The sequence below is a fragment of the Homo sapiens genome, chromosome 9, assembly GCF_000001405.40.
Source record: "Homo sapiens chromosome 9, GRCh38.p14 Primary Assembly".
Lineage (NCBI taxonomy): Eukaryota > Metazoa > Chordata > Mammalia > Primates > Hominidae > Homo > Homo sapiens.
The window spans coordinates 103,185,340-103,212,981 of NC_000009.12; the positions used below are offsets into that span (position 1 = coordinate 103,185,340).

General features: G+C 38.3%; 1 long non-coding RNA gene across 1 annotated transcript in view, besides 2 other annotated features; it reads right to left on the reverse strand.

Annotated features, from left to right (window-relative positions):
- The window catches only part of LINC01492 (long intergenic non-protein coding RNA 1492), a 184,506-nt gene that overhangs the window by 44,812 nt on the left and 112,052 nt on the right, over window positions 1-27,642 (reverse strand). Inside the window, exon 8 of the long non-coding RNA NR_121578.1 lies at window positions 2,707-2,777. This is a non-coding gene — a long non-coding RNA (long intergenic non-protein coding RNA 1492). The remainder of the gene's footprint in view (window positions 1-2,706; window positions 2,778-27,642) is intronic.
- Window positions 1,226-1,789: an enhancer, noted in NCBI's record as "H3K27ac-H3K4me1 hESC enhancer chr9:105948847-105949410 (GRCh37/hg19 assembly coordinates)". NCBI's record gives its function as "activates a minimal SCP1, AML or CMV promoter by ChIP-STARR-seq in naive H9 embryonic stem cells {active_cell/tissue: H9 hESC(naive)}" and the evidence as "EXISTENCE:reporter gene assay evidence [ECO:0000049][PMID:30033119]".
- Window positions 1,790-2,353: an enhancer, noted in NCBI's record as "H3K27ac-H3K4me1 hESC enhancer chr9:105949411-105949974 (GRCh37/hg19 assembly coordinates)". NCBI's record gives its function as "activates a minimal SCP1, AML or CMV promoter by ChIP-STARR-seq in naive H9 embryonic stem cells {active_cell/tissue: H9 hESC(naive)}" and the evidence as "EXISTENCE:reporter gene assay evidence [ECO:0000049][PMID:30033119]".

Consider the following 27,642-nt stretch of genomic DNA (forward strand, 5'->3'; position numbering starts at 1 on the left):
ATAGAGAAAAATAAGTCTCAAAATGATTAAGTGAACTAAAGTCACCTGGTTAGTGAGATATAAAGCAGAAGTTAAACTCCACATTTCTCTCTGAATAAAAATGACAATTTTAAATCAGGTTTAGCCTAAAGCTGCCTCCTTACATATTTTAAGTTTGGCCTAAAGGTTTTTCTGTACATTGTGAACCATAACAAGTTGAGGTGTAAACAGACCATAGCCTACACTTGTGCCAATCACTGAGTTTTGGCTAATCAAATGTAGCCAACTGTTCAAACTGTGTTCAAATAAGGCAATCACCAAGCTGTAACCAATCCAGTTGTTTCTGCACCTGAATTTCTTTTTCTGTACCTCACTTTGCTTTCTCTGTTCATAAGTTTTCTTTCACCCCATGGCTGTGCTGGAGTCTCTGAGCCTACTATGGCTCAGAAGTCTGCCCAATTCGCAAATTGTTCATTGCTCAATTAAACTCCTTTAAATTTAATTCAGTTGAAGTTTTTTTCATCAACAATTTATGAGACACGTTTTAAAACAATATGCATGGGATAAAGTTTTAGAAGGAAAGATTAAATAGGAATCTGGCAGAGATTTATAATTATATTAGATGTCTGAGAAATTTCCAGAATTAAGAAAATATACAAGTTCTTAATTAAAACAACATGCCAATTCTTAAGTAGAATAAGAAAACACACATTCAGTTAGACACATCATAATAAAACTATTTTTAAAAGCAGAAATTTACTAAAAAATTATAGATGTCATAAAGGAATTTTTAGTAAATAGATAATAGACTTATCAGCAACAACAAAACAAGAAAGTATTAAACTTAATTGTCTAAATAATTGAAGAGAGAAAACCAAACCAAACTAAAACAAAACAAAAACAACCCCAGGGGCTTAGAACTCTTAATCCAGCTAAAGTATCATTCAAGATTAAGAGCAAAATAAAGATAATTACAGTTAAAGACAAATAATAATTTTGTGGTTGAAAATAAGCTGATATTAAGATACAAGCAAAAGGACACAGTATACAGGAAGAGAATATTAATAGTTGAAGCACTTAAGATTGTTGTACTCTACTGAGATTAGAGCTGATGATTATCACTATATATAGCATTCGTGCATTTTTGCTTGTTTGTTTGCTTTTTATAAGTTAAGGTAACTTCTAAGTACAGAAACATCCTGTGAACCTCCAGACTAGGGACGTAAATGTAAAAGGCTTAGTGGGAGGGAGAATTAAGTAATATCCTTGCATCAATGCAGTAGAGAAATGAAAATAAAAGTAAAGAAACAAAAAGAATAAGAACACTTAACAAATAAAAAGTCAAAGTAATTTGCTAAACTCAAAATTATGTGAAGGTGCTAGAGAAAGATTAATTAGACCTCCTGTGTCTAAGTGAGAGGTGACAGCGTGCTGGCAGCCCTCACAGCCCTGGCTCGCTCTCGAGGCCTCCTCTGCCTGGGCTCCCATTTGGCGGCACTTGAGGAGCCCTTCAGCCCACCACTGCACTGTGGGAGCCCCTTTCTGGGCTGGCCAAGGCCGGAGCTGGCTCCTTCAGCTTACAGGGAGGTGTGGAGGGAGAGGCACGAGTGGGAACTGGGCTGCACGCGGGGCTTGCGGGCCAGCTGGAGTTCCGCGTGGGCGTGGGCTTGGCAGGCCCCGCACTCCGAACGGCAGGCTGGCCCGGGCAATGAGGGGCTTAGCACCCCGGCCAGCGGCTGTGGAGTGTGTGCTGGGTCCCCCAGCAGTGCCGGCCCACCGGTGCAGCACTCGATTTCTCACAGGGCCTTAGCTGCCTCCCTGCGGGGGGCAGGGCTCGGGACCTGCCTGAGCCTCCCCCTCCTCCGTGGGCTCCTGTGCGGCCTGAGCCTCCCTGACGACCTCCGCCCCCTGCTCCAGGGCACCCAGTCCCATCGATCACCCAAGGGCTGAGGAGTGCAGGTGCACGCATGGGACTGGCAGGCAGCTCCACCTGCCGCCTGGGTGCGGAATCCACTGGGTGAAGCCAGCTGGGCTCCTGAGTCTGGTGGGGACTTGGAGAACCTTTATGTCTAGCTAAGGGATTATAAATACACCAATCAGCACCCTGTGTCTAGCTCAAGGTTGTGAATGCACCAATCACTACTCTGTATCTAGCTACTCTGGTGGGGACTTGGAGAACCTTTGTGTGAACACTCCCTATCTAGCTAATCTAGTGGGGAAGTGGAGAACTTTTGTGTCTAGCTCAGGGATTGGAAACGCACCAATCAGCACCCTGTCAAAACAGACCACTCGGCTCTCTGTAAAATGGACCAATCAGCAGGATGTCCGTGGGACCAGATAAGAGAATAAAAGCAGGCTGCGGGAGCCAGCAGTGGCAACCCGCTCGGGTCCCCTTCCACACTGTGGAAGCTTTGTTCTTTAGCTCTTTGCAATAAATCTTGCTGCTGCTCGCTCTTTGGGGCCACACTGCCTTAATGAGCTGTAACACTCACCACGAAGGTCTGCAGCTTCACTCCTGAAGCTAGGGAGACCACGAACCCACCAGGAGGAATGAAGAACTCCAGACGCACCGCCTTAAGAGCTGTAACACTCACCGCGAAGGTCCGCATCTTCACTCCTGAGACAGCTAAACCATGAACCCCACCAGAAGGAAGAAACTCCTAACACATCCGAACATCAGAAGGAACAAACTCCGGACACGCCGCCTTTAAGAACTGTAACACTCACCGCGAGGGTCCGTGGCTTCATTCTTGAAGTCAGTGAGACCAAGAACCCACCAATTCCAGACACATAAGCAGCTAAAAATGAGGTATAAAATACAAATTACTATTACAAGTTGAGATTAAAATAAATGATACGTAATATCCATATTTAGAAAAGCAAGATAAGGCCTGGTGCAGTGCCCAGGTTGGTTTACAATTCAAATGTATTTTTCACATACCCCTGGGAGATATTAAAGAAGTATATATAAAATTATTCCACCACATTGGCTACGTAAATGACATTCAAGATTAACTAATGATGAATATTCACTCCAAAAGTATTAAACCTATGAAGGAAGAATGAACCATTGTGTTAAGTTATGCCATGTTCTGCTCTTTCCTGAAAATAAGAGAATCTACACTTTCCTGCCTCCTTCTAATTAGGCAGTACCATTGTCGAGATCTGCTAATTGAAGAGAGACTGTAGCACTTCTGACATGAGCCAGAAAAAAGCACTTGTTAATTTTCTAGTCTCTCTTCCCCACAAGCCAAAACAAATTTAGAAGATTGCCACGTTGCTGCAAGTAGGACAACTCTGGTAAGTAGCCTGTACCCCAGATAGACTATCTTGAGTAAAAAACAGTGAAGAAGCATTTTTTTTAATGTGGTAACTGGTAAACATTTTCCAGAATTGATAACAGATTGAAACTCCTTAACAAATTACAAGCAGAAAAAATAGTCAACAAAAGAGTCAAACGGTAAAGTATTTGAACAATTTATTCTGAGCCAAATATGAGTTACCAAGGCCAGAAACACAATCTCCAGAGGCTTTGAGAACATGTGCCTGAGGTGGTTGGGTTACAGCTTGATTTTATACATTTTAGAGAGAAAGAAGTTACACGCTGATACATAAAGCAATACATGTAAGAAGTGAAAGGTTCTTTTATGAGTTTGAACCCTGGGAGCACGCCAAGAGACAACACAAGGCAGTGTGGAGCAACATGCCGTTTTAATGAGCGCCTGGGTGCAGGCCGGCTGAAGCCTAAAATGGCATCAGCCCCAACTGAGGATGGGACAGGGGTTTTATAGTCCTCTGTAAACAGGAAGTGTTGCAGTCTGACGTGACTACTATGTCGTACCCGGACTGCCTCTTTCTCGAACTTCAGGGGTATGTCTTCAAGCCAGGGTATGTGTTTTCCTGCTGGCTCTCTTCCTGCTTCTGCTATCTTGCTGGCTTTTGCTGCTGATGCAAATGGCCTTGAGCCTTGGGACTGGGCCTGAGGAGGGAGGAGTTATTCATCCGTTCGAGCTTTCAGTCCCCGGGAGAATCTGATCAAGAAGTACATTGCTTTGGCCTGGACAGGTGGGACATCTCAAAGAAGGGGCTTTCAGGTCATAGGTGGATTTAAACACTTCTTGATACTTGCACATGCATGTTTATAGCAGCACAATTTGCAATTGCAAAAATGTGGAACCAGCCTAAATGCCCATCAATCAACAATTGGATAAAGAAAATGTGATATATATTGGAGACTATTATTCTAAGTGAAGTAACTCAGAAATGGAAAACCAAGCATCATATGTTCTCACTCATACGTGGGAGCTAAGCTATGAGGACACAAAGGTGTAAGAATGATACACTGGACTTTGGGTACTTGGGTGAGAGGGTGAGAGGTAATAAGGGATAAAAGACCACACACTGGGTACAGTGTACACTGTTCGGGTGATGGGTGCACCAAAATCCCAGAAATCACCACTGAAGACCTTATTTATGTAACCAAACACCACCTGTTCCCAAAAAACGTATTGGAAAAAATATAGAGGAGTGAAGGCCTTCTGGCAAGGTTCTCCTTAACCCACAATGTGTTTTAAGAGGAGTGAACCAATGTTCTGTTTCTGACTGATTATGAGGCAGTATATGTACATTAAATTTTCTCACCTGCATCAGCCTTCATCTTTATGTATCAAAGTATAAGCCATCCATGTATAAGGCTGTCTGCAAAATCCTTCACTAATAAAACTAAACCCCATAAGTACGTATAAGAGATCCCCTTTTCACTTCTATCATTCATAGAGGCATAAGCAAGGGAAAAAAATTCAAAGATAAGAGTTTCATGATAGTAGAGAAGTCTTGATCTGTGATTTTTGGAAAAGCACATCAAGGATATCATTTTCTTCTGGGGAGAAACTTTCCTAGTTAGCTTTACTTTAAGGGTTCCAATCAGTGTACAGTTACAAGAACGTGGAGGGACCCTTCTGAGTTATGAGACTATGAACCCAAAGTTTAAGTTCCCAAAGTTTTGCTGTAGTGTGGATGGCAAGGATAGTCTTTCTCTGATATTCTCAGCAGATCCAATCTTCAGGTTCTAGATTGTGAAGAGGTTGATTGTCCTCAGTGAACCATAAAAAGCTTTCTTTACACCGTGAAAATACACTGTGGCATAATAATCTACTATTATAACATCAGCCCTCTTGTATGGGAAGCTTTTCTACAATCAGAAAACATGGATTGAAAGTAACAATTGAATGAAATCCCTTTATAAATGTTTAAATGGCCCATCAGGTAGCCAAATGTACCTGAAGTTTTGATTGTCTTCCCAGGAATATGGATTTAACAAACCAAACGTTGGCTATAAACTATTTTAGCAATTTGGTAGCCACCACAAAATATATACATTTAATTTGGATCATTTTATCTTCTCCATGAGTCATGGAATGCAGAACTTTTTTTTTTTTTTGAGACGAAGTCTTGCACTATCGCCCAAGCTGGAGTGCAGTGGCACGATCTCAGCTCACTGCAAACTCTGCCTCCCAGGTTCATGCCATTCTCCTGCTTCAGCCTCCTGAGTAGCTGGGACTACAGGCACCCACCACCGCACCCAGCTGATTTTTTGTATGGGGTTTCACCATGTTAGCCAGGATGATCTCGATCTCCTGACCTCATGATCCACCCGCCTCGGCCTCCCAAAGTGCTGGGATTACAGGCATGAGCCACCACTCCCTGCCGGAATGCAGAACTTTTAAAAACAAAAGCTTTAAAGCCTCAGGAAGGACAAGGCTGCAACTGTTCTTGTTCCCCATGAGTCCATGTGTAACATTGGACTTATGTCCTCTTGAATGCCTGTTGTTTCTCAAATTTAAGTGCATAGCACTGATAACTAATGGGTTATCATAGGTAATTTGACATAGACCATGTATCAGCTGATTTAACATGAAAATCTGGCAAAGTACTTTCTTGGTATTCAATTTATTCTTGTTCTGCTTAGGTTAGCAGTTTTATAAACCAGTTTTTGTTAAAGTTTCAGGAATTCTTAGCCAGTCCAAATGATATAAACTTAAAGTTATTAGAAAGCTATATTCAAGAATGCTTTTCAGGGTCCTTTCCATCCTTTCATGAACCTCCTAAGACACCATATTCTAGGATTTTGCATGCTAGTGAACTTTTCAGAAACTATATCAGCATTATGCAATTAACCATGGAAATGACTTTAAATAGTCATAAAGACACAATTGACAAGGAAATTTGGTTATTTCTGTGGTCAGCAATAATCTAATATAATAACCTTAATTATGATTGATAGCATATACTCAGACATTAGAATTTTAGAAATCCCATGCAATTTTGGAGCATATATTAATATTATTCACTAAAATATAACCTGAAGAAGATTAAACATTATTTTTATTTTGACTATTCCATGCAACTAAGCATGTCACATAATCCTGTTTACATCTCTTTTGGATGCTCCAGGGGCCCTCTGTAGCATCCAAAAGTTAGGGGTTAGAAAAGACAATTTTAAAGCTGAAATTTGATTTTTGGGAAGCCTATCGAGTATGTTAAAGGCCTATAACCCTTGCTATTATGCTTAACCAATTTGACCATGAGGTGAGATTCTCATAAACCCTTTATAATCCTTTACCAATGTTTGTTAAAGAGCAGATCAGTGCTTTAAGAGAGTAGAATGATTGTTACCAGAGGCTAGGAAGGATTGGGGGTGGGAATGAAGAGAAGCTGGTTAATGGGTACAAACATACAGTTAGATAGAAGAAACAAGAAGTAAGTGTCTGATAGCATGTACAGTTGGGGTCCCCAACCCCTGGACTGGTACTGGTTCCTTGCCTGTTAGGAAATGGGCTTTGCAGCAGAACATGAGCAGCTGCAAGTGAGCAAAGCTTCATCTGTATTTACAGCCGCTCCACATCACTCACATTACCACCTGAGCTCTGCTTCCTGTCAGATTAGTGGTAGCATTAGATTTTCATAGGAGCGTGAACCCTATTGTGAATTGCACATGCGAGAGATCTAGGTTGCGCATTATGAGAATCTAATGCCCGATGATTTGCCACTGTCTCCCATCACCCTCAGGTGGAACTATCTAGTTTCAGGAAAATAAGTTGAGGGCTCCCACTGATTCTACATTATGGTGAGTTGTATAATTATTTCATTATATTATATATATATTGCAATGCAATAATAAAAGAGATAAAGTGCACAATAAATGAAATGCACTTGAATCATCCTGAAACCATCCTCCCCACCCAATCCGTGGCAGCATTTTCTTCCACGAAATTGGTTCCTGGTGCCAAAAAGATTGGAGACTGATGTACAGCATGGTGAATATAGTTAATGATACAGTGTTATATACTTGAAATTTGCTAAGATTGCAGATCTGAAGTATCTTCGCCACCTCACCCATACAAATGATAGTTATGTGAGTTGATGGATGTGTTAATTAACTTGATTGTGGTGATCATTTTACAATATATACAAATTATCAAATCATCACATTGTGTCACTGAACAATCTAGCCTGAAAAGGCATTTTAAAACTTTTCTTTTCCTTTTTTCTGTTTTTTTTCTCTAGTCTCAAGACACAACATTGAAACTAGCTAGAGAAACCTTTTTTTATTCTTAAACTATAGCCTTGAAATGTACTTTCTTTCAAATACCATGTCCTTCCCTTTCTTATACACTCCCTTACACTATACACATTTATCTAACTGTATGCTTGTTTCTAATTGTGTCCTTACATGGAAGTTTCAGTGGCTAATCTTGAAACAGACCTTCAGGCATAGAGAACTAGCTGCAAAATTTCGGAGATACCTCAAGGCAGTTAGTCAACAACTTGGACATCATTGAGATGACACCAGCCCATGATCCAGGTGGACCACAGCTTGAGATAGCCACTGGAATAAGACACACAGACCTTATACTCAGCACCCTTCCTGCATGTTTCCCATTCCAAGTTTCCCCTTTTAAGCCCCTTGCCCCAGCCTAAAGTTTGAAGTGCTTACTTTGGAAGTGAATCCAGCCACTTAACCACTGCTAGTTATGGTAAATAAAGCTACTTTCTTTCTACCATATTTTGCTCTTGTTATTGGGTTCCACACAGCTAGAGTTGGGTTACAGTTGTACACTTTCAATATTAAAACTTTTTTCTGTCAATTATACCTCAATAAGGCTGGAAAAAGGAAAAATGAAAGAATTAGCTGTGGACTGAAATATTATATTTGCAAATTAGTTATTCAAAGAGTGACAACTCATAACTATTCCATAAAAGACTCTCAAAGCTAAGTAATAAGCAAACAAGTAGCCCCACAAAAAATGGGCGAAATACCTGAAGTAACACATCACCAAAAGAGATAGTGGATAGCAAATATGCATATGATGAGATGCTCAATATCATTATTAATTAGGATAGGCAAATTAAAACTATGAGATATCTCCACACACACATTTGGAAACACTGTATTCAAAAGCACAAGCAGTATCAGATGTTGGCAAATGTGGAACAATAGGACTTCTCATATATTGCTTGTAGAAATGCAAAATGCTATAATCAATATTGAAGTTTCTTATAAAGTTAAACTTATACCTAACCTATGACCCACCAATTCCACTTGTATTTGCTCCAGCGAAAAGAAACAATGGTTCACACAAAAATCGATACCAGGATGTTTATAGCAGGATTTTTTTCGCTGTAATTACTACACACTGGAAACAACCAGATGTCTTTCAAATGGTGAATACCTAAACAAAATGCATACATCCATAAATTGGATACTACATAGCAAGAAACAATAATGAGTTCTTTGTTCTCACAGCAATGTGGGTGAGTTATAAATGCATTTGACTAAGTGAAAAAGGCCAGACCCAAAGGCCACATATGCATGATTCAATTTATATGACATTCTGGAAAAGATAAAGCTATAGGAAAGAACATCACATCAGTTAATTGTCATGGGTTAGGATTGGGGAAGTGGTTGATTGCAAAAAAAGACAGCAAGAGGAAATTTTTCTGGTGATAGAATAGTTCTATATAATATTGTGTATATATAGATACACAATTCTGTGCATCTATATATAATACCATAAAGAGTGATTTCTACCATATGTAATTTTAATAAATAGCCAAGACAGAATGCAGAATGAATCTAACTATATTAACAGTGAGTAATATTACCTCATTTAAGGAGGTAGAAAAAGAACAAACAAATTAAAGTCTGAGAGAATAACATTGTAAAACACTGTTTGACCAGATATCATCAGCTAATAAACAAAAGAAATAGACACGAGCATGGTACTCTAGTTGGTAAACGTTTTCTCTCAAGAGCATGAAATAGCAACTCTGAACTACTTTACTAGTATCAGCATATATATTGTAGATAATGAAAGCCATGTTTCTCTAATATAAGTTAGAAATAATCAAAGAGAGAATGACATAATAAACTCTGTAGCGTTGGGTTAGATTTAGAGTTATCAGTATGATTTCAATTAAAAATATATACATACAAAAAGTATACAAAAATATGTATACCTCGGTTACTTTACATAAATACATTTCCTGTCTCTGTCTGATGAGAGTTTGCAGAAGCAGTGATACCCTAGCAGCAACTAATAAAACTAGAGCACAGATCTGAGTGTTTAAATATCATTACCTAATGAAAGGAACCAAGGCTCAATGGAGAAGTAGTTGGTTCCAGGACTGGGGTAAGAAAAATACAAGTTAACCCTGGAATTTCATGTGGTTCCAGGAGGTAAATAAGTGATAAAATTTTAAAGGAGAGGAGAAAAAAAATGAAAAAAAGATGAGACATGTCAAAATGAGGTTCAAGAGATCAGTAGGACTTGTTTTCTGAGAACCAGTCACCAGACCCCACTGAACAAAACAGAAGCTGATGAGAACAGGATGCAGCAAAGAAATCAGCCCAAACCAGCTAAAACCAAGATGCCAATGAAAGCAGCTTCTGGTTACCCTCACTGCTTATTTCATACTAATTATAATGCATTTGGATGCTAAAAGACACTCCCACTACAAACATGACAATTAACAAATGCCATGACAACCCCCAGAAGTTACCTTATATAGTTTAAAAGAAGAAGGACCTTTGGTTCCAAGAACCCTTTACCCCCTTTTCAGAACATTCATGAATAATCCACCCCTTATCTAGCATATAATCAAGGAACAGTTCTCTAAAAATAGCTAGCCAGCCATTCACGAGGGCTGCTGCTGCTGCTGCTACTACTCTCTCTATGGAGCAGCCATATTCCTGTACTCAGTTGCTTTAATAAACTTGCTTTCCCTTTGCTCTGTTGGCTCACTTATGTTCTTTCTTGGACAAAGCCAAAAACCATCCTGGCCTAAACCCCGATTTTAGGCCTCACCTGCATCAAAAAGACATAGAAGCCAATCTGAAAGAGCTCCTGTGACCAAAGCTAACAGAGTTTGAGCAATTAAATTAATAATTATAGTTTTATATTATAACCCAGATAATAAAGTAAATATTAATGAGTTCATAGTAATATAAATAAATAAATAAATAAGTAAACTGGGCAGGAGAGACAACTCTTTCTTACACAAGAATTCCAATTAATACATTTCTAAAAATGAGGGAGATAGAAAATAATCATTAGAATGCCATATAATAATCATTGTAGGCAAAAAATTGTGAGCAAAAGTACACGAATAAATAACATATTTGTACAATCTCAAATTTTTTGCCCCTATTTATTATAGTAACTGTACTATGAAGAAACCTAGTAGATATCACTGTAATCAAGGGATCAAGGTTCATATCACTCTAATGAGCCATACTAACATCATTGAACTGTTGACATAATCCACTCATTCAGCAAAGCCTATTGCCTGTTTGGTATTTTTCCCCCAAATCCAAATCTTTAATATAATTATGACAAAATATCAGAGAGACTTCAGATCCAAATTGAGAGACATTCTACAAAATACTTGCAAAATTGTCAAGATCATGAGGGACAAACAAAAACTATTGAACTGTCTCAAACCAGAGACAACTAAGAAGTCAGGACAACTAAATGCAATGTAGGCTTCTGGATTGGATCCTCAAGGACAAAAAGGACATTAGTTGAAATATGCTGAAATATAAATTGTTTGAAGTTTGCTTATTAGTATTTTACCACTTTAGTTCAGTTAATATTATTTTACCAATGCTAATATTATTGTACCAATTATCTTAGTTTTTATAATAGTATCATGACTATACACAAAATTAATATTGCAAGCTGGGTGAAGCATCTACAAAACTCCGTTATTAACTTTGCTACTCCTTTGTACATCTGAAATTATTTCTATAAACTATCAAAAACCCAAATTGAAACAAACAAAAAAAGAAAGCAAAACAACATTTTTTTGAAGTATTATATGGTTAAAAGAACAGACAAGACTAAAGAGAATTGTACCAAAAGTAATGCATAAGGGAACAATGAAAACAGATGTACAACATAACATCAAGATTTAGAGATATCACAGAGTTCAGAAAAACATTGCTCCCAGGCTAAAATTTCAGACTCCCATTCATTGCTCAAAGGCAGTTATACATTTTAGCCTTTGAAACCTGGCCTCAAGTTGATTTGACTGTAGGGTAGAATTTTGATATAAGGTTAAGAAAACACCACAAGATAGTACTGATATTTGGCTGAATGAAGTATTAATTCCTGACATTGTCCTCAGTCTTGAGTAGAAATCAGAGTAAAGAAACTGCTTCTCAAAATTACATGGATTTTTGAGACTCACAAACACTGTGCTGTACTGTCACACAACTACCAATGGGAATATAAATGCTTCAGTCAGAAAGAGTTAACACATTTGAATATACAGGGTTTGCCAAATAGTAAAGTATTTTAGGCTATTAACGTCATTAGATACATTGCATGTTGTTATAAGAACCATTTATTTATGAACATGTCACAAAATACATAAAATATGTACTTAAATATAAATATTGATCTATTATTATGCTTTTATTTATGATTCACTTTTTTTGCAAAAACAAATTAAAATTGATACACCCTAATGTAACCATTAATATTGAATCAGAATATTATTTATGATTTCATAGGTCTAGGAAAATTTCTTATATGAAAGAAAGATGAAATTGAGTTATCTATATAAATATTGTTTGACAACAAATAAATTAGCCAAATTTGGTTATATACTAACAACTGCAAAGAATATTGCAGAAAACTGGCTGGGCACGGTGGCTTACATCTGTGAGCCAGCACTTTGGGATGCAAAGATGGGCAGATCACTTGAGGCCAATAGTTTGAGAACAATCTGGCCAACATAGTGAAACCCTGTCTCTACCAAAAAATATGAAAATTAGCCGAGTGTGGTAGGATTTACCTGTAGTCCTAGCTACTCAGGAGGCTGAAGTGGGACCTGGGAGGCAGAGGTTGCAGTGAGCCAAGATCGTGCCTCTGCACTCTAGCCTGGGCAACAGAGCAAGACTCTGTCTCAAAAAAAAAGAGAGAAAGAAAAAAGAATATTGCAGAAAACTACTTAGTAGAAAACCACTTAGTAGATACAAGAAGTCATTTATGTTCCTCCAAAAAACTGAATGTATAATTTTAGATCAGATAGTTTTGATTTTAATGATGATACTATATTAGTGCTATATTAAAGCCGAAATGACTATAGCCAGACCAACTCTTTTACTCTTTAAGTGAGGAAACTAAGTCCAGTAATGGGTTCTCTATTAGAATCCAAAAAGTGCATTATTTGTTTTCAGTTAATGATTAACTCTTCATCACTTAAGGAAAAAAAAAAAAAAAACTCAGTCTTTATCAAAATATTCAAAGATATGCTAAAATATGCCATAAACCTACTTGTATGAGTGTACCTGTCATTTTTCCTTTTGTGTATGCTCTGATCTTGACTAACTGACTCCATGTTATCCCCAGTATTTACAACATGCTTTCTATTTTATGATATGCTTGTTCTGTTCCTTCTACCAGGAAAGTTTCCTTTTACATTTTTCTTCTAATGCACATCTTTTCATTCTTTAAGTATTAATTCAAATAATACTTACCCTAACAAAACTTCCACAGCAAAATTAAATGTCTCCCTTATCTGTGCTCTCACTATTTGTTCCTAGCTAGATTCACTCATTAACCCAACTGTATTACTCTGTTCTCATACTGCTATAAAGATACTATCTGATAACTGGGTTTATATAAAAAAGAAGGTTTCATTTATAAAGAAAGAAGGTTTAACTGACTCACAGTTCTACATGGCTGGGGAGGGCTCAGGAAACTTACAATCACGGTGGAAGCTTAAGGGGAAGCAAGCCCATCTTACCACAATGGAGTAGGAGAGAAAGAGAGAAGGAGGGAGTGTCATACACTTTTAAGCCATCGGATCTCATGAGAATTCACTGTCATGAGAACAGCATGGGGGAAACCACCTCTATGATCCAATCACCTCCCACCAGGTCCCTCCCTTAACACATAGGGATAACAATTCTAGATGAGATTTGGGTGAGGATATAGTGCCAAACCATATCACCACCTATCCAATTTTTCAACAAACACTTTTAAATGCTTCCTATGTGTTCATTCTAAGAACTGGAGGCACCTTGCTAAAAGAAACAGACATGGTCCTCAGTTCGAAAACATGATACAAAAAAAACCATGTATATATAAGTCTGTGTGTGTTTTCTTTCAAAAGAAAGACATACAGAGAGAAAGGTGGATAAATAATATACAGGTAAATAGATATATATGAATACATAAATGATATGTAAGTCTTTACCATAGGATCTTGCAGTCCTATATTTCCCAAATTGAAGTGATGACTGCCATTCTATTACTATCACCACAAACAATAAAGCAGGTTTTAATTTTTTCAGAAACAACTATGTTATCCTGGGAGTTAAAATAACCTAACCATAGAAGTATTATAATAAAATAGAAGATAAAGACAACTTTTAAGGCATGCTTACAATTAACTCAAAACGAAATACAAAAAGCCACAAAATGCTTCCGTTTGGTTTCCCTGGCATGAAGCAGCCATCTTCTTCACATTTAAAACTTTGCCAATAGATCAACATACAGAATTATCATAAAATTTTATATGCCCAAGATACTCATTTTGATCACAAATTTTTATACAGCAATTCTCAAGATAAATGAAATAATGTTAAACTTGACTTTAAAAATAATCACATCTAACCTCTCGCTTGGTGTGCTTAAAAACAAATGTATTAACCATTGAAAAATATGTTAGCCCATAAAGAAAGAGAAGGAACAGTATTTACTCATAGCTAATTGAAAATACGCTATGTGGAAATTATGATGCTAGACTTTTCATATGTGTCATTTCTTATCATGTTGAAATCACAATCACAACAAAGAAGAGACTATCTCAGCTCACGTCTCTACCTCCAGTGCTCAAATAATGCCAAGTGCATAATGGCATTCAACTTGGTGTTTGTTGAATTAATTTGTATAATATTAAAGAAAAATGAAACAAAAATCACCTAGCTATTAAGGAGTGGAATTGAAATTCTAAACAAGTTCTCACTGAGTTAAAGATATTTTTGATGTGAATTTATTCATTTATTGAACTAACACAAAAGAAAAGTAAGTGAAGCGATTTGTAGCAAGTTCTACACACTATGAACAAACTGTGTGTCCCAACCTAGGAATGGAAAGAATAGGCATAAATAATGTCCCCATTTCCTTGTAGGGTCACAGGTCTTTGAAATTCTAGAGAAAGTAGAAATCTTTCATCTAAATAGCCAATTGTATAAAATTGTCTTTTTTGACAGGAATCTTGGTGATTATATAACTCTAACCCTTTGAAAAAACTAAAGGTCAAAATAGCCTTTGTCCTCTTTTCACTAAAGATCTTTATTTTATAAAAAAGAAACTTCTTGTTTTATTGTAAAAGAAAAAAAATAAAAACTTGAAAAGTTCATTTCACTCTATCATTCATGAAAATATCATTCTATACAACACACATTCAAAAATTTGCTGTCCAATGTTTTGGGACATTAATCAACATTCTAAAAAAATTATATAATAGTGAGTTATTGAACAAAAATAATCTGTACTCTAATATATGTGAATACATTGTATTTCTTTTTTTGACATACATTGATATTTTTATTGAGGTTAGAATAAAATAATGACAGTTGATAGCTAAAACAAGCAATACATGCTTAAAATTCAACCCTAAAAATTAATACATTTTATACATATATTTGTTATGTATAATAAAAATGCCCTTAGTTATCTACATACTGATTATTGTTTAGCTGCACAATCAGTATCAGTATCTGAGTTTCCCTTGGTGAATATATACTTCATCCACCCTAATGAATTATTGTTTTCATATTCCATTTGAAATGGAATGACTGGCTTGGCAAATATCCAGGGAATAGAATACAGCTATTTTAATGTTTATTTATTTCTTTGTCTTAACTTTAAGATAGTTCACGTTTTGAGGTCCAACCCAAATGCTGCCTCTTCCATGCAGTATTTTCTGATCTAATATCAAAAACAGTTTCTCCGTTCCTGAGTTTGCCATATACCTTGGCTCCTTGCTTGTTAAATAAATTACTTTCTATTTTTGAATCAGGCTTTTTCTTTGTACTTTTGCCCACACGTGGTTCAGATGCTGACATTTTAAGGCTTTTGCACACAAAGTCGTTTAAACTCTGCAACCTTGTTTAATTATTAGTTTCCTGAAAACTGTTATCAAGTGTGCATCAGTGCATGTTAATTACAGATATCATTTATTACTTTTGGAAAATGAAAGGATTGTATAGTGAAAATAGCAACATCTTTGACAAAATTGGAGAGAATAGGGTTGCATCAGAAATCCACTAAAACTGTCACTCAAGTCAGGTTACTTAAGTCTTTTGGCTTCAGATTCCTTCTCTGTTACATAAGGGTAAATCATACTTACCAGAAATACATTTATCACAAAACTGGCCCATATTAAGTGCTCTTAGGCTTTTGTGAAAGCTTAAATAAAATTATGCTTGAGTATTCATAAAATCTTGGACACACAAAAACTTGTTATTTTTACAAATGCCTTCAACAACATTTCTAAAAATACAGTCTGTGGAATCTTGACAGTCTCCAAGATCAAGGGGTTTATGAGGATAAAACTATTTTTATAATAAAACCAAGTTATTTTTTGCTGTTTTTACCCTTTTCCTCTCGTCTGTATGGTAGAGATTTTCAAAGGTTACCTTATAATGTAATATCATCATCATTCCAGAAAATAATTGTATGCATATTTACATATTCTTATATTGTAAATAGTTCTCAGTTTCAGTTTCTAGTATAGTAAATATTATTAGCTATGACTAACATAAACAAAAGCTCTTGAGGTCTTCAACAATTTAAGAGTATAAAAATATCCTGAAACCAAAAATTTGAAAACTGCTGGTCTACAGATAGATGGAGTTCTGCAGCACTTTAGACCATCATGACCTCAGAAATAAAAATGCTACATATTTTTCTTTTTCCTATTCTTAAAATTTGTAAAGAAATATTCAGACTAGACAAAAAAAAAAAAAATAGGCTGACTATCTAAATACCTTCCAGGATGCCATTATCTTGCTGAACTAGCATAGCCTAAATCTGGTTATTGGTCCTGCTTTCATAAAAACTGACTGCTTTCAGCAGCTCTAAAGCTGAACAATGTTATTTGGTCAAATATACCTAACATATAAATATGCAAAACCCAGAAGAATGCATCAAAATGCTGGTGTTATATAAATTATGATGGTTATGTCTATTAATTGTGCTATTTATCTGAGGAGATCACTTTTCTACTTTTAGGAACCTTTATAGATTCTTCTTTATAGGTCATTTTTCTACTTTTAGGGATCTTTATAGATTCCTCTTTATAAACCATCTTTATAGATGATCTAACTATGCCATTGGTCTAAAATGCATAGGGTTAGAGCAAAAGAATCTAAGATATAATACGGCATACTTCACTGAAACCATGGTAAGCTTTTGGAAATGACCAAAAGTTTACTGACCCAGGGCAAAATACTACCTTCTAGTAATTTTAAAGCATATCATCATGTTCTTTAAATTAAACTTGATTCTCTCCATGTAAATCTCCCCATGTATAATTTAAGCAAAAGACATTTTATTGTAAGGATGCCAGAGAATTCACAGCATCTATGGAAAGATTGAAGAAACAAAATTGACATAAGCACAAATATCTAAGGGAAGGTCTGGTGCTGGTGACACAGTCAATATCATGGACACAGTCTGGTTAAGATACTACTGACAAAAGAGGCTGGATATTGCTCTTGATAGTGTTATCTTCTTCACCATGAATGAACTCTAAAGGATCCTTGTTCCTTTGTGTCATTAACTCCAAATCCCAAATTCCAAATGAAGCATCAGATTGATCAAGTTAATTTACTTGTCTGTTTCCTATTTACTAAGGAGTAGGGTTACTTGGCTCTATTGATTTAATCACTTGTTCTTAGTCAACATAATGTAACCATTTTTTTTTTCTTTTGTTTTGCTTTTTGAGACGGAGTCTTGCTCGGTCTCCCAGGCTGGAGTGCAGTGGCGTGATCTCGGCTCACTCACTGCAAGCTCCGCCTCCCGGGTTCACGCCATTCTCCTGCCTCAGCCTCCCGAGTAGCTGGGACTACAGGCGCCCGCCATGACTCCCGGCTAATTTTTTTTGTATTTTTCATAAAGGCAGGGTTTCACCGTGTTAGCCAGAATGGTCTCAATCTCCTGACCTCATGCTCTGCCCACCTCGGCCTCCCAGAGTGCTGGGATTACAGGCGTGAACCACCGCGCCCGGCCAACCATTTTTAAAATAACAGAAAATTGACTCATCTTCATTCCAGAAAGAGCTCACCGAAATCTCATCAGTTGGTGCATCAACTGGTTCAAAGACAAGATCTCCAAGTGAAGCAAATTCCCCTTCATGTTTTGTCACTAATCTGTTTCCATATCCCACAACCATATAAACAAAAAAAGGCTCACCACCACAGAAGTCCCCTACTTCATAGATAAGCAAAATAAAAGGAAACTAAAAGTGAAATTAGTTAAAAGAAAGAAAGGCATGACTCAGCATGGAAAGAAAGCTACGTAGAGGCTGTAGTCTTCATTTCTACACTGTTCACAGAGGTGTAATTAATATTTTATACTTCTCTTTCCCACTAGCATTTCACATTTCCTTTGCTTTCAGCTAACACCAGTTTTAGAATTTTTGACCTGGTAGTGTGTATTAATTTTCTGTTGCTGCTATAACAAATTACTACAAATTTAGTGGTTGAAAACAACACAATGGTATTACTTCATAATTCTAGAGGTCGTAAGTCTGAAATATGTATTACTGGGATAAAATCAAGCTGTTTGCAGGCCTGAATTTCTTTGGAAAGCAGTAGGAGATAATCCATTTCCTTGTGATTTCCATATTCTAGAGGATTCCTGAATTCATTGGCCTGTGATCCCTTTCCTCAACTTTAAAGGCAGCTGCATAACATCTTCAAATCTAACCCTAACTCTGACCTTCCTTCCTCCCACTTATCAAGGCCTGTGTGATTACATTAGAAATACCTGGTCAATCCAGGATACTTTTCCATTTCAAGATCCTTACATCGATCACAACTGAAGTTCTCTTTCGCCGTGTAAGATAACGTAATCACCCAGGTTCTGCAAATTCGAATGTGGACATCTCCGGGTGTCATTATTCTGCCTACCATATGGTTATGCCAAATCTTAATTCCTGTGTGACCTCAGAACTTTTTGTCCCTATAATTTAAAATAGCGTTAGTAAAGCAAAAATATAAAATGTAAAAAAAAAGGGAAAAAGGAAGCTGATTGCCTTGGTGAGTCAACACTGGGTATTTTCTGACCACTATTTGAAACAAAAAAGGAAACCACTGATATTCTATGCAAAGATCTGTTCCTGGAAGCCACTCTGAGGAGACACCAGGAGAACTTTTATCAATCCTTCATTGATTTGAAGTAAAAGTGCTAAAGCAATGGTTGTGGGTGGCAACCATTAGCAGATCACAAAATCACTGTAGTGGGTAACTAAACAAGAGGAAACACAAGATGGCATCCTGTGTAACTGGGGTTAAGCATTACTCTCTGAAACTCATGGCATCAGTTTCCTCTTAGGCTCTTCCAACAGAGTATAATCATGTTCATTTCAGTTTACAATCCTTGCAGTCCCATCGATTTGTGAGATTATACCCAGGTCATCCACAGTGGAGGTCTGAAAATGTTCTTAGTTGTACTCTAATTTCACTAACTGCCAAAAGGTTTTCCAGAATAATCTCAGTTGCTTCATTCCTTTAAAGGTGAAGCCCAAAGAACGCATGGCGATTACTTTAGAGGAACAATTAGCAGCAGAGGCAGGGCTGTGCTGATCCCATCTGGCATCGCTGGGAGCTAACACACATTAAAGACATGGCACTTTGGGTCCGGGTCCAGGTCCTGGTTCAGAGCAGCTGCCACACCGTGGCTACTAGAGGATCCTTTTCCGGCTTTGGAAACTGAGGCTGACTGCACCATTTACAGAAATTTCATCATGAAGATCCTTACACTTAACACCTTAAGGTGATGAGTTTTCACATGACTGTTTTCAAGGCCACAGCCAACACCTTTAATCATCATCACTAAAGGCCTGAGACTGCTCTCCGTGCTCAACACCGACGGGAGCGGCCATGTCTTCCAGCCACACGGCAGGCTGGAGTGAAGTGGTACAATCTTGGCTCACTGCAACCTCCACCTCCCGGGCTCAAGCAATTCTCCTGGCTCAGCCTCCTGAGTGCTGGGACTACAGGCGCGTACCTTCTTTAGTAGAGACTGGGTTTCACCATGTTGGCCAGGATGGTCTCTATCTCCTGACCTTGTGATCTGCCTGCCTCAGCTTCCCAAAGTGCTGAGATTACAGGCGTGAGCCATCAGACCCAGCATTTTTTTTTTAATTTAAATTTAAATTTTTTTCATTTTTTTGAAAGGTTTTTTTGTTTTTTTTTGTTGTTGTTGTTGTTGTTGTTTTTGAGACAGTCTTGCTCTGTCACCCAGGCTGGTAGTGCAGTGGCATGATCTCTGCAACCTCTACCTCCCAGGTTCAAGCAATTCTTGTGCCGCAGCCTCCCAAGTAACTGGGACTACAGGTGCACGCTACCACACCTGGCTGATTTTTTATGTTTTAGTAGAGACAGGGTTTCAACCATGTTGCCCAGGTTGGTCTCAAACTCCTGAGCTCAGGCAATCCACCCGCCTTGGCCTCCCAAAGTGCTAGGATTACAGGTGTGAGCCACCACACCCAGCTATTTTTTCTTTCGTTTTTTAATTTTAAAGTTGGCGGCGGGGCGGGGGGGGTCTCAATTTGTTACCCTGGCTGGTCTCGAACTCCCGGACTTAAGTGATCCTCTGGCTCCAAGCCCACTACCAGTCTCAGGTTTCTTTACTAAAAGATCACTACTTTTTTTTCTCTTATCTGCTGCCATGTGAGATGTGGCTTTCACCTTCCTCCATGATTGTGAGGCCTTCCCAGCCACGTGGAACTGTAAGTCCAATAAACCTCTTTTGTAAATTAAAAAAAAAAAAAATCACTATTTAAATACTAGGATGGATTGTGACTGTTGAGGAGTACTTACATATCCTACATTTGACTACAATCCTTCCAAACCAAGTATTCTATCCAAAGGAACATACTGCTATCATGGAGACCAAGGAGGGACTGTTTAAGGTTGCCAAGGTGAAGCGAGCTGAAAGGCTTTGTCCTCGTGCCAGCAACTCTGAAATCTCTCTTAATTCCTGCTGTCCAGGCAGCAGAATGCCATGGTTTCCCCAAGTAGGTAGCTGCTTTAGCAATTAAAGCCCAAATGTCTGTTCTGTTGATCAGAGGTCTCTGAATTTCTGAAATGGTGTTTCGTTTCTGGTGACTGAGTTAATCCTTTACAATCCCTCTTGTAAAGTGTGCTAATAGAAAGAATCCACCTTTCAAAGCTGCAGAACCAGACCGTGCCCTAAATTGACCAACGTAACTGATGTGCCTCGGGAAGTCTCTTGCCAGCTGTCCCTGTGAAGACCCCCCTCCTCCCCCCCAGCTGCTGCCTTGCACACTGAAGCATCTCAGACTGCAAAGCCATGTAGTCATCAAGTCAGTAAATCCCAGGGCTTGGTTAAGTGCTGTGTGATAACTTGTTTGGATGAGACTTAACTTAAAACCACTTACAATAAAATTGGGAAACTACCGTCAAAAAAAAAAAAATAGCGTTAGTAGTTTCTATCAGCATTTTACCCCTGGCTGTTGTAGAAATAGGAGATTGAAACCTTGGAATGATCTGCTTTGTTCCATCCATGCTCTTTCCTAGGCCTCTGTATAGCCTGGCCACATAAAAAGCTTAATATGTAGAAAAAAAATCTCCAATTCAGAAGAAATCATTTTTGTATCCCCTGGTGGAATCATTTATCCATTTTGTCCAAATGAATAAATTAAAAACTGTTGGCTGGAAATTTCTTATGTATAGACGATTGGGTTTGATAGAAACAGATGTCATCCCAGTCTTCTACACCAAGATTCCCAGGCATGAGTATTCTGGCTAATGGAGAAACAAACCACATATTAATAGCTGAATAAGGGCGTATATCTTATCACTGATATAACCCTATTCTTGCAAATTGCTGTAAGACATTCAGCTGTAATTGAAACCAGGCAAGCTTTGCAGTGGCAATATCCATATTGTTGATCCTATACTAGCTTTCCGTCAAAATAGCTCCTTTTTGTAATGACAAGCACAGATATGGTGAATTAAAAAAGGTTGTGGCAGGACTACTACTTTCCAAAAGTATTTCACAAAAGTAAATATACATTTGCTTTCTCTTCTTTAGTCCAAATTTTATTCAGAGCAGAAATGTGCCTAGCCAAAAGGCTGTACTTCTTTGTCCTTCATCCAGGTGTGACCACATGGCAAGAGCTGGTCACTGAGACAAAAATAAAAGTGTTGTGAAAGATTTCCAAGACATCTGTGGAAAGTAAGCTGGCTTAGCTGATAAGAGGATCCTTTTGCAGTCAAGCTTTTCCCCATTTCTGTTTCTTGGCATTCAGAAATGATGGCTGGAGCTCCAGCAATATTCTGGACCATCAGTTGACCTCGAAAGTGGAAAGAATGTTAATCAGATAATAGAAAGAAACTAGTTCACTCATGAACATGAAGCTATACCATAACAGCCATAGACTACATTGCAAGGTGTTTTCTGTTAGAGAAAAAAAAAATGTATTTTTTAAGTTGCTGTTTTATTTTTCTCATTGTATGTTTTATGTAGCAAAACCTAGTTTTAACTAATTAAGAGATTACTGATATTCATATGAACAGGTGTTTTTTTCCCATCTGCCATTAAGAACTTCCCCCATCGTGGGCTATTTCGTGAATATATATATGAGGCATATATGTTACAATTTTTCTGAGGTCCATCTATACACTTCTTAAAACATATTTATCACCATTATTCCAGTCTTGTTCCTCTCAGATATCTGATCATAATACTAAAGACTTGTCCATTGCTCATGCATTCCTAAAGATTCTTATCTCAAACCATTTCATCCTCCTGGAAAAGGGGCGATAAGCTGTACTTCTTATTTTTCTTAATAAGAGGACTTTCCTGTAGGTGTTCAGGACGCTTCTTAATGGGGTGTTAATGGCACAGCAATAAACTTTTGGCTGTCAATATCAGTAAAGGTGATATATATATTTGTAAGTCAGACTCATATTTTCTACCTCATTCAATTATTCTTAAGATGCTTTACATAAATTCCTAAGGGTGAGTTCAGGACACAGAAGTGAAACCAAAGTATTGGGGATGTGAGAACCTTTATTTGCAAATAATTTGTGCTTTCAGGATATTCTTGGGTCTGAATTCTTATAAAGTGTATTCACTTGATGATATAGTGCAGCAGGACACACCTGCCTCTAAGGCTAAGTGTAAAGATATTATCCAATAGGATCTAGTAACCTAGTAACAGATGAAGGGCCCTTCTTAAAAGAAGTACTGCTTCTTAAAAAGGGAATAACAAATGAAAGAAAGAAACCAGAGCTGTTAAAATGATTACTCCGTTAGGTCTTGCCATGGTTTAATTACAGAAATTCTGAGCAGCATTAGATCCACTGCATCACAAGGCTGATTATCAAATTGCTCCAACTGAAATCTAAAGGTTAGGTAAAGGACTTACATGTAAAACACTTTCAACAACAACTAAGTGAATTGGAGTAGCACACTCAAATGTAATTTGAATTACATTGAAAATTTTATTAACATCTTAGTGAAGTTGGTTCTATGATACACCTGTCTATATGTTTAAAGGGAATGTCTCAATATGGGACAAATCACTGGGCTTGTTGGTGTGGGGTCTTTGTCACACATTCTTGAATAACAATTTTTCTTAACAAAATCAGTAATGGAAGTATGCTCTACTTCCTGTTTTTCCAAATTTTTTAAAACTACATGGTGGTTTAAAATAGGAAATACCATGATGAGCTTCTGACATTGCCAGGTGATAACAGAATGCTTTTTATGTTTGCTGCTTATTGTAGGGGGTTAAAAAAATATCTTTTGTGTTAGTCTGTCCTTGCACTGCTATAGAGAACTATGTGAAACTGGGTTTTTATGAACCCAGTAATTTATGAAGAAAATAAGTTTAATTGACTCATAGTTCACAGGCTTTACAAGAAGCATGACTGGAAGGCCTCAGGAAACTTAAAATAATGGCAGAGGGCAAAGGGGAAGCAAGCATGTCTTACTATGGTGGAGCAGGGGAGACAGAGAGAAGGGGGAAGTGCCACACACGTTTAAACCATCAGATATCATGGGAACTCACTCACAATCATAAGAACGGCAAGGAGGAAATCTGCCCCCACTATCCAGTCAACTCCCACTAGACCTCTCCTTCAATTCCACATGAGATTTGGGCGGGGACATAAATCCAAACCATATCATTCTGTCCCAGGTCCCTCTGAAATCTCATGTCCTTCTCACATTGCAAAATACAATTATCCCTTTTCAACAGTCCTCCCATCTTAACTCATTCAGCATTAACTCAAAAGTTCACAATCCAATGTCTCATCTGAGAAAACATAAGTCCCTTCTGCGTATGAGTCTGTAAAATCAAAAACAAATGAGTTATTTTTAAAATACAATGGAGGCACAGGCACTGAGTAAATGCTTCAATTCCAAATGGTAGAAATGGATAAAACAAAGCGGCTACAGCCCCCATTCAAGTCCAAAACCCAGCAGATCAGTCGTTACATCTTAAAGCTCCAAAATAATCTCCTTTGACTCCATACATCACATCCAGTGCATGCTGAAACTAGAGGTGGGCTCCCAAGACCTTAGACAGCTCTGCCTCTGTAGCACTGTAGGGTACAGCCCCCAGGACTGCTCTCACAGACTGGCATTGAGTGTCTGCAGCCTTTCCAAGCACACGGTGCAACCTGTTGGTAAATCTACCATTCTGGGGTTTGGAAAATGGTGGCCCTCTTCTCACAGCTCCACTAGGCAGTGCCCCAGTGGGGACTCTGTGTGGGGGTTCCAACCCCATATTTTTCCTCCATGCTGTCCTAGCAGAGGTTCTCCATGATGGCTCTGCTCATGCAGCAGACTTCTGCCTGGACATCCAGCTGTTTCCATACATCCTCTGAAATCTAGGCAGAGGTTCCTAAACCTCAATTCTTGCATTCTACATGCCCAAAGGCCCAATATCAAATAGAAGCCACCAAGGCTTGGGGTTTGCACCATCTGAAAGAACAGCCTGAGGTGTACCTCAATCCCTTTTAGCCACAGCTGGAGCTGGAGTAGCTGGGACACAAGGTGCCATCCCCCTAGGCTACACAGAGCAGCAGGGCCCCAGGCCCAGCCCATGAAACCATTTTCTTCCCTAGGCCTCCAGACCTATAATGGGAGGGGCTGGCCATGAAGGTGTCTGACATGCCCTGGAGATGTTTTTCCACATTATCTTGGCTATTAACATTCAGTTCCTTATTACCTATGTAAATTTCTGCAGCCAGCTTGAATTTCTCCCCTGAAAATGGGTTTTTCTTTTCTACTGAATGGTCAGGTTCAAATTTTCCAAATTTTTATGCTCTGTCACCTCTCAAATGTTTTGCTGCTTAGAAATATCTTCCACAGGATACTGTAAATCATCTCTCCCAAGTTCAAAGTTCCACAGACCTCTAGGGCCGGGGCAAAATGCTGCCAGTCTCTTTGCCAAAGCATACCAAGAGTCATTTTTACTCCAGTTGCCAAGAAGTTCCTCATCTCCATCTGAGACCACCTTAGCCTAGATTTCACTGTCCATATCACTATCGGCATTTTGGTCAAAGCCATTCAACAAGTCTTTAGGAAATTTCAATCTTTCCCACATCTTCCTGTCTTCTTCGGAGTCTTCCAAACTTTCAACCTCTCTCCGTTATCCAGTTCCAAAGTCTCTTCCACATTTTGAGGTATCATTTGAGCAGCACCCCACTCCTGGTACCAATTTTCTGTATTAGTCTGTTCTCACACTTCTATAAAGAACTACCTGAGACTGGGTAATTTATGAAGAAAATGGGCTTATTTGACTCACAGTTCTGCAAACTTAACAGGAAGCAGGACTGGGAGGCTGCAGCAAACTTACAATCATGGCTAAAGGCAAAGGGGAAGCAAGGACCTTCTTCACATGGTGGCAGAAGAGAGAAAGAGAACAAAGGGGGAAGTGCCACACACTTTTAAACCATCAGATCTCATGGGAACTCACTACCACAAGAACAGCAAGGGGGATATCTACCCCATGATTCAATCCCCTCCCACCAGACCCCTCCTCCAACTTGACATGAGATTTGGTCGGGGACATAAATCAAACTATATCATCTTTAGATCAATAACAGCATACCAGATGCTAGGGTATTGGGGGAAATTCACCCCCAATATTTCACGTAGGCTCTTTTCTATTTTCCCTAAGTGTCAGCTGGTCTGAGAAATAAAGGGACAGAGTACAAAAGAGAGAAATTTTAAAGCTGGGTGTCCAGGGGAGACATCACATGTTGGCAGGTTCCGTGATGCCCCCCAAGCCACAAAACCAGCAAGTTTTTATTGGTGATTTTCAAAAGGGTAGGGAGTGTACGAATAGGGTGTGGGTCACAGAGATCACGTGCTTCACAAGGTAATAAAATATCACAAGGCAAATGGAGGCAGGGCGAGATCACAGGATCACAGGACCAATTAAAATTGCTAATGAAGTTTTGGGCATGCATTGTTATTGATAACATCTTATCAGGAGACAGGGTTTGAGAGCAAACAACCGGTCTGACCAAAATTTATTAGGGGGGAATTTCCTTGTCCTAATAAGCCTGGGAGCACTGCAGGAGACCAAGACTTATTTCATCCCTTATCTATAGCCATAAAAGACAGCCATCCCCAAAGTGGCCATTTCAGAGGCCTCTCCTTAAGGAGGCATTCTCTTTCTCAGGGATGTTCCTTGCTGAGAAAAAGAATTCAGCAATATTTCTCCTATTTGCTTTTGAAAGAAGAGAAATATGGCTCTGTTCCACCTGGCCTACAGGCAGCCAGAGTTTAAGGTTATCTCCTTTGTTCCCTGAACATTGCTGTTATCCTGTTCTTTTTTCAAGGTGCCCAGATTTCGTATTGTTTAAACAATTTGTGCAGTTAACGCAATTATCACAGGGTCCTGAGGCGACATTCATCCTCAGCTTACAAAGATGGCAGGATTAAGAGACTAAAGTAAAAACAGGCATAGGAAATCAGAAGTATTGATTGGGGAAGTGATAAGTGTCAATTAAATCTTCACAGTTAATGTTCAGAGATTGCAGTAAAGACAAGCATAATAAATTATAAAAGTATCAATTCTGGGAACTAATAAATGTCTATGAAATCTTCACAATTCATGTTCTTCTGCCATGGCTTCAGCCGGTCCCTCCGTTCTGGGTCCCTGACTTCCCACAACATTAGGGGCTGTATTAATTAGATTCAATAAGGAAAACATATTTGGGATAGTAGTTGCAATTGGAAAACCACCTAATTAAGTTCATGATAAAGCTGTGTATTTCCTTGTCTTAGTCAAACTGAAGAGTTAAGTGAGAATGTAATAGGAATCATCATTTCTGAAAATCTCCAGTTTTCTGATGTGTGAGTCTCAGAACAATGTAGTTTTGGTTTTGATTCAGCATAGACTCTAGAAGATTCCATTTGGTCTTTCTTACAATCATGAGATCCCCCACGATAAGAATGCAGGTATAAATGTGTATTTAGCTGAGAAGGTGTATCTCTAGTATTCACTTAGAAATGCTGTAAGTTTACCCATCATAAGCCTCTTCCACAATTCCTGGTGGGTCAGGGATGTTACAATTACAATCTGCCACAGCACATATCCAATATTATGCAAAGTAATCTTCATATTTTCCTTTATGCTGCACACTGTTACTTGGATGAATAGGTACAAGTCACTTTGGAGCAAGGTAAGAGAGTCATAGAAAGTATATATGAATTAATTTTTCATTTATATATACTTTCTATGACTCTCTTATCTTGCTCCAAATTAATTCAAGATGGATTAAAGACTTAAATGTTAGACCTAAAACCATAAAAACCCTAGAAGAAAACCTAGGCATTACCTTTCATGACATAGGCATGGGCAAGGACT